General features: G+C 43.4%; 1 protein-coding gene across 12 annotated transcripts in view, besides 10 other annotated features; it reads left to right on the forward strand.

The window, feature by feature from the left end:
* PBX1 (PBX homeobox 1) overlaps positions 1-13431 on the forward strand; it is a 326864-nt gene that overhangs the window by 41440 nt on the left and 271993 nt on the right. The window lies entirely within an intron of this gene.
* Positions 1592-2357: an enhancer, noted in NCBI's record as "OCT4-NANOG-H3K27ac hESC enhancer chr1:164571452-164572217 (GRCh37/hg19 assembly coordinates)". NCBI's record gives its function as "activates a minimal SCP1, AML or CMV promoter by ChIP-STARR-seq in naive H9 embryonic stem cells {active_cell/tissue: H9 hESC(naive)}" and the evidence as "EXISTENCE:reporter gene assay evidence [ECO:0000049][PMID:30033119]".
* Positions 2358-3122: an enhancer, noted in NCBI's record as "OCT4-NANOG-H3K27ac hESC enhancer chr1:164572218-164572982 (GRCh37/hg19 assembly coordinates)". NCBI's record gives its function as "activates a minimal SCP1, AML or CMV promoter by ChIP-STARR-seq in naive H9 embryonic stem cells {active_cell/tissue: H9 hESC(naive)}" and the evidence as "EXISTENCE:reporter gene assay evidence [ECO:0000049][PMID:30033119]".
* Positions 8978-9531: an enhancer, noted in NCBI's record as "H3K27ac-H3K4me1 hESC enhancer chr1:164578838-164579391 (GRCh37/hg19 assembly coordinates)". NCBI's record gives its function as "activates a minimal SCP1, AML or CMV promoter by ChIP-STARR-seq in naive H9 embryonic stem cells {active_cell/tissue: H9 hESC(naive)}" and the evidence as "EXISTENCE:reporter gene assay evidence [ECO:0000049][PMID:30033119]".
* Positions 9532-10084: an enhancer, noted in NCBI's record as "H3K27ac-H3K4me1 hESC enhancer chr1:164579392-164579944 (GRCh37/hg19 assembly coordinates)". NCBI's record gives its function as "activates a minimal SCP1, AML or CMV promoter by ChIP-STARR-seq in naive H9 embryonic stem cells {active_cell/tissue: H9 hESC(naive)}" and the evidence as "EXISTENCE:reporter gene assay evidence [ECO:0000049][PMID:30033119]".
* Positions 10275-10816: an enhancer, noted in NCBI's record as "H3K4me1 hESC enhancer chr1:164580135-164580676 (GRCh37/hg19 assembly coordinates)". NCBI's record gives its function as "activates a minimal SCP1, AML or CMV promoter by ChIP-STARR-seq in primed H9 embryonic stem cells {active_cell/tissue: H9 hESC(primed)}" and the evidence as "EXISTENCE:reporter gene assay evidence [ECO:0000049][PMID:30033119]".
* Positions 10817-11358: an enhancer, noted in NCBI's record as "H3K4me1 hESC enhancer chr1:164580677-164581218 (GRCh37/hg19 assembly coordinates)". NCBI's record gives its function as "activates a minimal SCP1, AML or CMV promoter by ChIP-STARR-seq in primed H9 embryonic stem cells {active_cell/tissue: H9 hESC(primed)}" and the evidence as "EXISTENCE:reporter gene assay evidence [ECO:0000049][PMID:30033119]".
* Positions 10817-11900: a biological region, named in NCBI's record as "hESC enhancers GRCh37_chr1:164581219-164581760 and GRCh37_chr1:164581219-164581760".
* Positions 11209-11503: an enhancer, noted in NCBI's record as "tiled region #14887; HepG2 Activating DNase unmatched - State 5:Enh". NCBI's record gives its function as "activates a minimal TATA promoter and a strong SV40 promoter by Sharpr-MPRA in HepG2 cells {active_cell/tissue: HepG2}" and the evidence as "EXISTENCE:reporter gene assay evidence [ECO:0000049][PMID:27701403]".
* Positions 11359-11900: an enhancer, noted in NCBI's record as "H3K27ac-H3K4me1 hESC enhancer chr1:164581219-164581760 (GRCh37/hg19 assembly coordinates)". NCBI's record gives its function as "activates a minimal SCP1, AML or CMV promoter by ChIP-STARR-seq in primed H9 embryonic stem cells {active_cell/tissue: H9 hESC(primed)}" and the evidence as "EXISTENCE:reporter gene assay evidence [ECO:0000049][PMID:30033119]".
* Positions 11901-12440: an enhancer, noted in NCBI's record as "H3K27ac-H3K4me1 hESC enhancer chr1:164581761-164582300 (GRCh37/hg19 assembly coordinates)". NCBI's record gives its function as "activates a minimal SCP1, AML or CMV promoter by ChIP-STARR-seq in primed H9 embryonic stem cells {active_cell/tissue: H9 hESC(primed)}" and the evidence as "EXISTENCE:reporter gene assay evidence [ECO:0000049][PMID:30033119]".

Consider the following 13431-nt stretch of genomic DNA (forward strand, 5'->3'; position numbering starts at 1 on the left):
TTGATTCCTGAGGCAGCCCCATGCCTGTTTAACACAGTGTAGCTTAACTGGTTAAAGCACCGGGCTAGTAAACACATGACTAGGGGCTCAATCCCTTGTGGGCCTGTTAGTTTATTTACTGCATTCATTGGCCACAGACTTCATCCCTAAAGTGGTCAAGCCATCTCAGACACGTTTGCTTCTGGTCACACCGATCAAGATTGATCCAGCCACTGAAGTAATCCAAACAACTCACTTCTAATGGGCCAGAGGTTGTCATCTTCATACCTGAGGAATGGCTTGCATTTTATAAAAATTGGAGATTCTTCTGCTCTCAGAATAGCAGACACAGGGCTGGGCGCAGTGGCTCATGCCTGTAATCCCAGCACTTTGGGAGGCCGAGGCGGGCAGATCACCTGAGGTGTCAGGAGTTTGAGACCAGCCTAACCAGTGTGGTGAAACCCCGTCTCTACTAAAAATACAAAAATTAGCCGGGCGTGGCGGTGGGCGCCTGTAGTCCCAGCTACTCGGGAGGCTGAGAAAGAATTGCTTGAACCTGGGAGGCCGAGGTTGCAGTGAGCCGAGATTGTGCCATTGCACTCCAGCCTGGGCGACAGAGCAAGATTCTGTCTCAAAAAAAAAAAAAAAAAAAAAAAAAAAGCAGACACAGAGGTGAACTTAACCTGAGATTAACCAGATTCACAGTTCAATAGCAACCACCTTTAGAGTCCCTAAGCTAAGAAACTGCTATGATTTTGATGAAACAGAAAGGAGGAAGGTAACTCTAGTTCTTTCTGAGGCATCCGACACTCCTTTAGAAGGGTTTTCCCAGGAAGCCTCATTCACTTTCAGGTAAGCCCATTATGAAGGGATAAGGATTTTACCGTATTCCACTGGAATAGGGGAAAAAACCATCTCACTTTAACAGAAAGCATGCAAGTGCCCTTTTCTGGAGGAGGTGGGAATGAGGGAGTACACAGACTTTAGCTTAAACTGTGGCAGGAGGGTCTTAATTTTGGCAGAACAGGGCATGGTGTTGCATCTCACCTGTTCCACGCTTAGTACAAGCCCTTCTTCCCAGTCCCTGTCACCTGCCTCATTTTGAGCTTTCACTGTATTTTCCTGTTGTTCCAGGGAAGATGAAGTGCATTTAAATGCTGCAGTTGGATACTGTGAAGATGAGACCCCTTAGCCTGTGGGATTAACTTTCCATGGAGCCCATTCTGGAGAGACTTGAGAGAGCACCTTTAAAAGGAAGTTAGCTAAGATACTGCCCTCCGTTTCAGACAGAGGTTGGAACCAGATCCTGGCTGAGAGCAGAGACCAGCTTCCACTCAGCCATGCACCCTAGGAGTGGGGATTCAGCTCTGTGGCTCCAGGAAGGTTAATCTTCAATGTTAATCCGTTTAGATAAAGTTGTTAGTTAAAAGGTAATCTGTTTAGCCTCCCTTTCCCCATTCTCCTGCCAGAAAAGAGGGAGTTCAAGTCTTCTTTCCAGGACTCCTGTGTTTTGGCTGAGACTGATTCTTCACTGTGGCCTTGGGAGAAAAGCTGCCTAACCAGTTCTGGGCCCTGGCTAGTTACAACCATGTGTGAGTTGTTTACAGTACGCACAGGTATGGGCTGAAGGGAAACAAAGCTTAAGGGATGACTAGAAAGGCTTGCTGAAATTGCTATGGGAGGGCCCCACCCTCCAAGCCATCTCCCCTCACACCCCGCTCGGTTTCAGTTTCTGCAGCTTGGTTATGCGACATTCTCTTAATCCTTTTTTGAATCTGGTCTCTACTTAAGCACTCAAGAAAACTGCTCCACAAGGATTGTTTTAGTGGGGTTTTAATTTTTTAAAATGTTCTTGTTTATTTAAATTGCTTGAACAAGGGTTTAGCTGTATGGGAAGAGTTCCTGCCTTTAGCTATACATGTTTCCACCCACTTAGACATGCTGCTCACCCACAGACTCATACAGCCTCCACAGACACAAAGCTTCTGTGTATCCTACATGTACCTGCACCCCAATTCTGTCAACCTCCCCACAGCTCTTGACTGGCTGTTTATCTATTCCATTCCACTACCTTCCCACCCCAGCCCTCAAAGTCCCAAACAGATTGAAAAAAAAAAAAAAAATGGGAGGCAGCAAAATTGCTTACTTGCACGAAAGGGCTCTTGCCTTTGAGGGGAGCTCTCTAGGCACCTAATTTCTCTTAGATTTCTTTCTGCCCTCAAAGGTACTTGTGGAATGTTTGCCGTTAAACGGTTGTAAATTAAGGGCTGAGTGTATGAAGCGTTAATGAAGGCTGCCATTGGAACCAGTCCACGTCCCGTCCCGGCTGGCAGGTTTGCTGTCCAAGAAGTCTCTTGCTGGAGGCCTGAGTTCCTGAGTGTCGGGTTTCAGCTCTCCTTTCTTCTTTTTTCGTCTTTTCTTCTGCAGCTATTTTTTCCCCTACCTTCCTTATAATCCGTCCCTTCCCTTCCTTCTTCCATACCCACTCCACCCCTACCCCTTTGGCTTTTTCTGAAAGTAACCATGAGGAACAGAGTCAGAATGAGGCTAGGGAAGCAGCATTTTTTTTTTTCTTTTCCTGTAGAAAGCAGGGCCAAAAGGGTGCATTTTATTTTTTTCTGCTTTTCCTTTTATCTCTTTGTGTTTGCTTCATTTCTTTCTCTTTAAGTCAAGGTTGAAATTGATGTTTGCAAAAGACAGGAATTTTGAATAACTGCCTGAGTTAAACAGAATATGGAGAAACTTTGACTCTGTCCCATGTATTAAAAATTAAAATTAGGGCAAAATAATGCGGATTTGTCCTGGAGGACCTGGCCAGATGTAGCTAGAGGACTTTCACAGTGCTGGTATAATTATACCTGGATATGGGATAATCTTCACTTTAAGCAACTCCATTATGTGAAAATACAGATCCACAGATACATATACAAATAAACACTTCCAAAAGAAATCCTTGTATAATTCAATGTAATATGTGTTTTTAAGCTACAATATGTAAGCCATCAAAGTACTGCATTATTTTTAGATAACAGACTTTTCAGTTTGTTTAAGGTGTGATTACCTTTACCAAACATCATTTCTACTCAAATAGAATGCTTACAATAAACTGTATGGAGGATACCTACATAAGTCATGTCCTGAGTTTATACTATTTCCTAGAGACATCTCTTTTATACATTTCAAGTTTTAAGTTTAGTCTGATGTTTTATACTTTTCAGTTTAGTACCTGAATTGTATCTATCTATGAAATAATAACAGATAATAATTTTAAGCAGATACTGTTTGCTAGACATTAATGCAAGACACTCTGTACATTATGTCATTTCATTTTTTTTTTTTTTTTTTTTTTTTTTTTTTTTTAGAGATGAGTCTCTGTCACCCAGGCTGGAGTGCAGTGGCACGATCACGGCTCACTGCAGCCTCTGCCTCCCAGGTTCAAGCAGTTCTCCTGCCTCAGCCTCCCAGGTAGCTGGGACTATAGGTGTGTGCCACCACATCCAGCTAATCTTTTGTATTTTAGTAGAAATGAGGTTTCACTATGTTGTTCAGGCTAGTCTCGAACTTCTGAGCTCAGGCAATCCGCCTGCCTCAGCTTCCCAAAGTGCTATGATTACAGGCGTGAGCCACTGCGTCCGGCCTATCATTTAATTCTATTGCCACTTCCATTTTAGAAATGAAGTGACAAAGCCTCACAGAGGATATGTAAGTTGTTCTTGACCACACTATGTTTGGTTGCTTGCCTTTGTATCCACCTGTGTTTCATCATTATTGCACAGTGTTCCCATTACTCTAAGGGTTACAATCTGAGGTCCCTTCCACCCTGACATTCATTCATTTGTGCATTCAGCAGTTACATGTATTGAGTGCCTACTGTGTGCCAGGATGCCCTGCCAGTCAGGCCAGCACTCAGTGATAACTACTGGTCACAGGATCTAGTGATTTGGCCTTAACAAATGAAGGCTGGACATGACCCTTTTTTATTCTGTCCTGAGAGCCGTTGCCTATGCTATCCACTTATTATAGCGGCATTCATATGTAATAAATAACTTATCAAAATAGTCATAAAGGACTTGGCAGACAAAATGAACTGCTAGAGAAGACTGCATTAAATTTTAATAGGAAGAATTCTTAGTAATAAGTAGGAAATGCATCTTGGTGTAGAACTGAGTCATTCTTTTGTGGCTTTCCCTAAGACATCTTCATATCAGTGACTATTTTTTTTTTCATTTATGAAATACTGTGCTTTTAGACAAAGTGTATTTGAAATTTCTCACTCTGTTTCCCAAGTAAATAAACAAATAAAAGTAAAGAATGGAAAAAGACAAGACAAACCATCTTCCTTTATTCCATAGAGGTGGAGTGCCTTCTAGTAACAAGTGCTGTGTGCCGTGTATGGAAGACACCAGTAATCACATCATAGACCCTAATCTCAAGGAACCTGTGTTCTTGTGGGGCAGTCAAAGAAATAGGCCTAGTCCAGGGTATTAAATGCTGTGATGGGGATACTGAGAGAGTATCCTGGGAATGTTTAGGAGGGCACCTTATTGTCTTGGTGAGGATGACGCAGTCACAGAAGTTTCTTCTAAAGAGAAGACACATAGGCAGAGATCTAAGAATGAATTAGAGTTCTCCAGATAAAGGGGATGTAAGGGGCAGAGGGGAGCAGACTGGCCGAAGAACATTTTTGTTAAAATCCTTTTTTTTTTGTTTTGAAGAAATATGACTTTTGTCCTAAAATTCCACAGCAGAGCTTCCAGGGCTATGGTAGGGATTAAGGTATTCTACAACAGATGAACAAGTCTTTTAGGGACAGCCTGGTGAGTTTAACCTCTGTAGGGCTCCTGTAGAGGAGGCACTCTTTGTTATGGGAAGAACAGGGCCCTTTTTAGTGAGAAGAGGGGCCTTGGGTCTCTCCAGTTTTCCTGATTGGCTGTGCTGATGGCTTTTACTCTTCTTTAAAGGAGGCATAATACAACCCCGTTAATTGAAACTCCAGTGTTTAGAATGTTTGGTGGTTTGTGAAGCCCTCCTGTAAAAGGCAACTGACCAAGCATATAAATAAAGCTATGAAATTAATACATACATGTTGAGCATTTAAATGTGTAGGGTGCTGGGTTTATGTACTCAAGGTTGCTTGCGGGGATTATTTAGCTGGTTTAAATAAACAAACTTTTAAAAGGCTTTATAAAGTAAACAACATCTATTTGCATACCAATTCCAATTTATACTCTGCTCAAAAATAGGTCTGATGGTGCCTCTTTGTGGAAACAGTTTATCAGTAGTTAGAGTTTATGTCTCATAAAGTTTTAAGATTTTATTTTTCATTAAAATTCTTTGAATTCAGACACTTTTGGTAATTCATGCCTTCCCTCCAGTTTCCCTAGATTGGGTAGATTTTCCTGGAGTTGCACTCTCTATTTTTATAATAACATAAGCATATTGATGATAGTGAATAGGCAAAAGGCTGTGGGTAGTGTAAGAGCAATTCTTTTCAGCTTCAAGGGATTTTTAAAAATTCTTTCATTATTCAAGAGTTGTAATTTGTTGTGTATATTTAAAATAACTCTCATCTTTCAGTCTCTCCAATAAATGCATTCTGCTATATGGCCAGGTGTGGTGGCTCACGCCTGTTATCCCAGTGCTTTGGGAGGCCAAGGCGGGTAGATTGCTTGAGGCCAGGAGTTTGAGACCAGCCTGGCCAACATGATGAAACCCCATCTGTATTAAAAGTACAAAAATTAGCTGGGAGTGGTGGTGGACGCCTGTATTCCCAGCTCCTCAGGAGGCTGAGGCACAAGAATTGTTTGAACCTGGGAGGCGGAGGTTGCAGTGAGCTACGAAAATTGTTTGAACCTGGGAGGCGGAGGTTGCAGTGAGCTATGAGAATTGTTTGAACCTGGGAGGCGAAGGTTTCAGTGAGCTGAGGTAGCGCCGCTGCACTCCAGCCTGAACAACAGAGTGAGACTCTGTCTCAATAAAAAGCATTCTGTATAAATCTATGATATCTGAGAATCCGATGTCGTATTTGCTTATTGTCTCTCTTTCCTGCTGGAACATAAGCTCCATGATGGCAGGGACTTTGTCTTGTTGCTGTATCCTTAGCAACTAGAACAGTCCCTGCTGCATGGTAGAGTCTTCATATTTATTTAATGAGTGTATGAAACAGTTCATTCTTTGTGCATGGAAACATGATATTTGCACATTTTATAAGATATATTACATTAATACTAATATTAATACTGCCTTACATATAACAAGTTTTTTTATGAGAGGAATTTCAGACTCTTATAAAATCATTTATTTACAGAAGATGGTATAACTAACTCTGACATGAGGTACTGGGGAAGTATTTCAAAGTGACGTTGGAATGGGATTTCTGGATATTGCAGGATGCAAGAGGTTGCTGAAGAGCAAGTTTGTGGCACACCAGGCTGTGAGAGCACCGCATGGGCAAAGGCCCAGGGTCATATGATCTGCAGGGCCATAACAGGAGTAAGTAGATTGGGGTCAGATTATGCCAGGCGAGGAATTTTATCTTGAAGGCAGTTGGGGACTATTGAAAAATCAGAGGACAGTGCAAGGGAAGGGGATGAGAGGTAACAAGATCAGATTTGTACTTTAAGGTAATTTTGGTGTCTCTGTGGAGGATGGATTAAAGTGGGGGTGAGATTAGAAAAAAATGAGCTAGAAGGTGAGAGATGGTGTAGTAAGTGGGATGAATGAGTTTAAAAAGCTATTTTTGCGATTAAATTTAAGCAATTTGCTAATGGGAAGGTGGTTTGAGGGAGAAGGAAGAGTTGATGTTAATACCAAGGTTTCTAGTTTGTAAGTGAAGAATAGCAATGTCTCAAAGGATATCAAGATTACCAGAGGCTGAAGAAAGCTACTGAGGAAGGTTAGAAGGAGAGAGTTGACGAGTTAGATTTTGAGTAGCCTGTAGGATATTCAAGTGGAGCTGTCCAGGAGGCAGTTGGAAATATATGACTGAAGCTTCAGAGAGAGGTCAGGGCTAGAGACATAAATTTGGATATAATCAGTGTGTAAATAGCGATTGATGCCGTGAGAGGGAATGCAGTGATCCAAGAGAGCCTACACAGTATAGAAGCAGACCAGGGCCAAACCCTGAGAAGGCCAAATATTTGGCAAGGTGGTTAGTGGAGAGGTTAAGAACAGGATTATCAGAGAGGCAAGAGAAAAATCTGGAGGGAGTAGCATCTTAAAAGCCAAGGGGAGTTTGAGAACTATAGGTTCATCCGCATCATTAGATGCCACAGCCTTCCTCTGGGCTCTTATACTTCTATCTTAACATATATTATGTTAACTTCATGTATTTTCTATCAGGTTTTCCTATGTCTGTGAGCTCTGTGAAAGCAGGGATAAAAAGTGTTTCATCTTTGTGCATAGGCCAGAAATGGCAAATAGGTTTCATTTCATGTTCCAAGTCTGAGTATTCTCAGCTGAGTCCAGAGTCTGCAGAGAAGAGTGCCTTCATCCATTAGTGATTTCTGATTAGTGATTTCAGGATCAGGGACTGATGGCAACTTGCCCTGTATTTCTCATGTCTGCATTAGGCACTTATTCATTCATTATTCAACAGATACTTACTGAGTGCCCAGCATGTGCCAAGTACTGTGCCAGGTGCTCAATAAATGTTTATTGAATAAATGTTGAATGGTTAAAGGAAGGCTCGCAACATCCTTTAGAAGGAATGGGAAAGGACCTGAGTGAGGTGAGCCACCTCTGAGAGCCCAGCTGAGGCCATTTTCAGTGTTGTGTGCCTCAGGTCATCCTGCCTTCCACCTATGCGGAGTGTACTGGTTAACACAAAGTCTCTGGTAAAAGAATGCCAGATTTTAATGATTTTTAACAAAAATACTTTCCACTTTTGTAAGTATTTAACTTATTAGTGTGCACTTGCATCTCACTTGATCTTTGCATTAATCCAGCAAGAGAGATAGGCCATATGTTGTCATCTCTATTAGACAGATGAGGAAATAGAGATATTTATTACTAAAAATTTGAGTAAGAAAGCAAACACTGAGCCAGAATTGGAACTGAGGTCTGACTCCCACTTCTAACTCTTGAGAGTATGGCTCAGAAATGGGCATCTCTAGTCACAAAATGTGGCTGAGCTGTTTGGGCAACTAGCAGAGCTGGACACCTTGTGATTCAGAGGGGCTTTCCCATGGAATGCAGGGGGCCACAGGCAGCATTTTGGATGGTACAAGGTTGGTAGGAGGAAGAGAAGAAATGATTGGCTCCCAGAGGCTTCATGGGCTCCCAATTCATGATTCTTTCTCTGTGGCTAATTTTTGTTAAGTATAAGAATTCCAGGAATCTCTTAGGAATTGTGGAGACTGCTTTCTCCTGAAATATAAAACATCTGCTCTTGGTCTCTTTGGAGCTCCACTGTCTGAGGGGAAAACAGGGAAAAAGAGGTAATATAAAACAGACATTGTTTCAGACAATAAATCCCCCTTTACTCATTAATGAGAAAATAAATTTAGGGCCAGAGGTGTCAGACTTTTCAGGAGGCCTCTTTGTTCTTTTCTTTTCTTTTTTTTTAATAATTTAAAAAAGTTCCCACACTACACTGATGTACAGGAAACTTCTCTTAACATTGCCTTTTTTATTTTTTCTTTCCTGAGTGATAAGTTCAGAACAAGAGACCAAGTCTCTGGGGACACAAAATTGAGCGTGCTGGTTGGACACAGCTGTTCCCTGTAACCCACCCTGCTTCAGCATGTTAGGCACATTTTTTTGTACCAGTATTTTCTTCCTGAAATCCTAGGTAAGAACACCTGAGGGGATAGATGGCATGGCAGGACACGTATAACAGTCTGAAAAATGTGTAGGCAAATTCCTAAAATCACCATTTTCCTGTCGCCACACCCTTCTTTCCCTTTTCTTTTAAATGTCCTCCATCCCCTCAAATCCCATTTCTCTCCTCAGGCTCCTTGAGGCTTTCCCATTCCACATTTCTCTGGATCCTCTGAGATTCTCGGCTTCTTCTAGAGTACTAGGGACTGCTTTTTGAGCAAATCTGTGTGAGCCGCATGGATTTCATGAAATCACCTAAAACCTTTCTGTTGCGCTTGGTAAGAGCCTTGGATAGGGAAAGGAAGGGGTAGACAGGCTTAGAGGCAGAGACTATTCTTACCTGGCTTACAGTTGTATTCCCAGCACCTAAGCCAGTGACTGGCACGTAGTAGGCACTCAGTCTTTCTTTAGTTAAATACAATGAATAATTTAATGTTGGGGGGGATATGGTAAAAGAAGAAGAGGAGAGTTGGAAAACTCATGGGCATCTTCAACAGACAGGAGCCCCATGACTGGGGGGTGTCTTAGCAAAAGGCTTCCTGGCGTCATAACAGAAGTAGTCACAGAACCCCCAAGACCGGAACCTGTTACACCAGAGGGTTGGTGCACATTCACGATGCCCTCTGTCGAAGGGCCCCACCTTCCATGCCTGCGCGTCTCCTTTTGTTCTGTCAGGTTTAGCATTGAGGCAATTGGTGGCCGCCGCCTCCTTTGCCTCATCTGCCCCAAATCCCTGCTTGCCATCAGCCCAATGCAGCAGGCTCTGGTGCCAACCACAATCTCCCCGGGAAAGAGATTTGAGGGACTGGAATTGTGAGAGAAATGTAAGCTCTGAGCTTGACGGTGGTCCATGAGCCCCTCCCCTTCTCACCTTTGAAGCAAGAAGGGGCTGGTTCCAGGGCTCTGTGGGAAAGCTGCTTTGAAGAATGGTGAACTTGGGCCACGGGGCATCATTCTGCTTTAGTTGAGGGGGTCCCTGTTGGGTTCCAAAGAGAATGCGGTGGGGTTAACATAAAAGCAGAGTTTAGCAGTGAGGAACCCATTGGTCTATGGCCTGCTTTCTTAATTGTTAGTGAATTAAGCCAGGAAGGCACTGGGGGTGGCTGGGGAGATCCTTTGTAAGAGGTTAAGGTCTTCATAGAGTGATGATAGGATTAGCAATAATTTGGTGGAAACAAACAAGCAGAATACCAGGAGAGCTACAAGCGATCGGTTCTGTACTGTGTCCCTGTGTTCTCTGGTTCACCAAGGACCTTAGGCCTGTTGTCCTAAATGATCACAGGGCTGGCATCACCCTTGCTGTGATGGGCTGGCAGGCCAATGTGCTTGGCCCTCCTGCCAAAAGTATCTACGCACATTCTGCCATGGATGGTACATTTGCATGCTCCCCTCTCCTTAAAATCTGAGCTGGGAGATGGGGAAGAATGAAAGGAGAAAATCAAATTAAATGTTTGACCAGCAGAATGAATTCTGTCTCCAGTGAGGCTGGCTTGCATTTGTCTTGCTTTTTATTTTCTGAACTTTCTCTCACCATAAATCCTTTTTCCTTTCCTTTTACCCATTAAAATGTTTTTACTCTTTGTGCCAGCACTTTGTCCTTTGGCTCTTTCTGTGTCTGTCCCAGCTCCATAATCCTCCCCATGTTCTTTTGCTCACTTTCTTGTCTCCTGATCTGAACCCCAGCCTTTCACTTTGAAATGCTTTTTTCTTTCTCAGATTTCAGGATTTCTTTCTTGCCTTAGAGTGGGATGTTCACTTAACCCTTTTTGGGGTCTGTTTTTCTCTCTAACTTTGGGCCTTTTTCACATTTCTGTGTTTCTTTTTTCTCTTTTTGAGACGGAGTCTTACTCTGTCGCCCAGGCTAGAGTGCAGTGGCGCAATCTCGGCTCACTGCAAGCTCCGCCTCCCGGGTTCATGCCATTCTTCTGCCTCAGCCTCCCGAGTAGCTGGGACTACAGGCGCCCGCCACCACGCCCGGCTAATTTTTTTGTATTTTTAGTAGAGACGGGGTTTCACCGTGTTAGCCAGGATGGTCTCGATCTCCTGACCTCGTGATCCGCCCGCCTCGGCCTCCCAAAGTGCTGGGATTACAGGCGTGAGCCACCGCGCCCGGCCTTCTGTGTTTCAAATAATGATGCTTGTGTATACATAATCACTGGGGCTCAGTTCTCTTTTTGATTGTCTGTTTAGAGGAATGCCTTGGTTAGGAAAAAAAAAAAATTGGCTCCTGGACTTTGCCATCCAATGCCTGTTTCTTTGCTTTGAGGCTTGGGAATAAAAATTACTTAGCTCATCTACTCTGCTGGAAGAGTAGAGAAGAGGGTGACATACCCCACAGGAAATGGGGACAAGCCCATTTTGGAGGGAGGCTGCCTGATTTTTTAGGAGATAGGGAGTGAGGACCTGCTCTGTGCCTGGCCTCCCACTAACATTTCTCGCATCTCACTTTACCTCCAGCAAGAGGAGAGCTGACAGCCTGCAACAATGCCCTCCTTTCTTCTCCCAGGGCCGGTGTTTTGATAGTGTCAGGTTACACCCCAGCCTCCCCTTGGCCCATTTATAAACCTGACACAGGCAACATGATGTAATGTTATTTTTCAGGATCTCAATGAGGAAATTTTTTGCCCCAGGTCAGAAGAATGCTAGTTGATTTTTGCTGAAATGAACCATGGCACAGTATAATATATGGGCTCCTAGTTCAAGAAGGTGGAGGCGGGGCTAGGGTGGTGTATTGCACTGAAGTTGGTAGGTTGTAATAAAGCTTTTTCTGCTTGGACCTTCCACCTCTGGGCGCCTCAGCCAACCTATCATTGTTGAGAAACACCCTTGTAGAAGCAGGCTTGGGAGCTGCCCCTTTTAATGCAATTTTGCATTGTTCTGGTGCCATAGTCTTGATTTCAAATGCGTCGCCATTGAGCAGCTGCAACGGTTGAGACTAATCTAGAAAGTGACCACAGAAAGGAAAGGGGGATGGGGGGACTTCTATGTGACCAAGTTTGTCTTCTAGGCTAGCGTTTAGCCACCTCTCGTAGCTCTGGTTTCTCTGGCTCTGCTCGAGCAGTGCTGCTGGACTTGGTGGCGGGAATAGAAAGGGAAACTGGCTATGGCTTCCTTTTACTTCCTGCCTCTTCCTCCTTCCCTCACCCCATGATATCTGTACCTAAAAAATGTCAGAAAAGTCCCATTTTTGTATTTACATTTTTTTTTTGTGAATGAAAAGAGACAAAAGATTCTAGACTGGAAAGGTGCCTGGCACTCAGCTGGAGCACTGCCCTAGGCGGAGGAAGAGATGCAGAATATGATGGGGCTCCCACCTCTGTTCCCGTCTTCCTGGTCCCTCTCCCCTTCTGGAGGTGACTGAGTTGCTGGTGTCTCATGAGATGTGATAAAGCATCCTGGTTAAGAGCACTGGAGATAGTATCCAGCTTGGCTTTCCATCCTGTTATGAATTGGCAGATTAACCTTGGACAAGTGATTTGAACTCTGCCTCAGTTCTTAATCTGTTGAGTATGAAGAAAAATAGACCTACCTCCCAGGGTTATTGGGCAGTTTAAATGAGTTAATGTATACAAAGTATTTACATCAGTGTGTGGCACCCAGGGATCACTGTATGAGAATTTCCTGAACAACAACAACAAAAAAACCCTTCTAGAAATATTTTTACAAATTATGAATGTATTTTCCTAATTTTGAAAATACAACTAGTAGAATACCATGAATACTGTTCTGCACCTTGCTTTTATTTATTTATGTATTTAGCTTGTTTCTTAGCAATGTCAAGCCTTATGTTCCAATTTGTGAGCTATAGTGTTTTGTTACCATCCCTGTAAGACAAAGCATCTAAAGTAATCACCTAGGTATGCATACGGAAAACCTTTCTGGACTGTCAGGGAAAGCATTTTATCCCAACTGCCCTGAACTTGTCACTCTTCTCTGAGCAGGTCACACCCCTTGCTGACTCAGCCTTTGTACTGTGTTCTCTGCCTTGAATTCATTCTCTCTTCTCCACGCTACCTGGCAAACTGTTTTTCCTCCTTCAGGAATCAGCTGAAGTATCAGGATTGCCGTAAAGCTATTCCTAACTTTCTCCAGGCTCTCCTGTGAGCCCCCCTAGCATTGTGTGTCTGTCTGTGAGCCAGCCTTGGCACACAGTGTTGCGGTTATGATCTGTGTATATGTGCACGTGGGGGCCCAGAGCTCTCCCACGCTGAACACCAGCAATTAGTACAGTGTCTGTTACATAGTCATGCTCCATGTTTTTAACAAATAAACAATAAGTACTTTTTGGTGACAACATCAGTTTCCTTGTCTTCCTTCTCTTCTGGTGAGAGTGTCTTGAGGTAGAAACGAAGAAATCTGACTCCACCCTAGCACCTGACCAAACTCTTAGTCCCACTCCAAAGCATGCTCTAAGCTGGACTTTACCTGGGGGCTGCAGGTAGATTGCCCCTTCAGCTACTCTGTCTTCTCCTGGAACCTACAGTGGAGATCCCAGTATGCACCGAGAACCTTAGAAGACTTTCTGGCATGTACTTATTGCTTTGCTAGTAAAGCAGCACTTGAGCAGATCAACTCCATCAACTCCCAGGATGACCTTCCTCTGGTATTTCTGTGGGGTGTCTGTTGTTGGGG

The sequence above is a fragment of the Homo sapiens genome, chromosome 1 (genome assembly GCF_000001405.40).
Source record: "Homo sapiens chromosome 1, GRCh38.p14 Primary Assembly".
Lineage (NCBI taxonomy): Eukaryota > Metazoa > Chordata > Mammalia > Primates > Hominidae > Homo > Homo sapiens.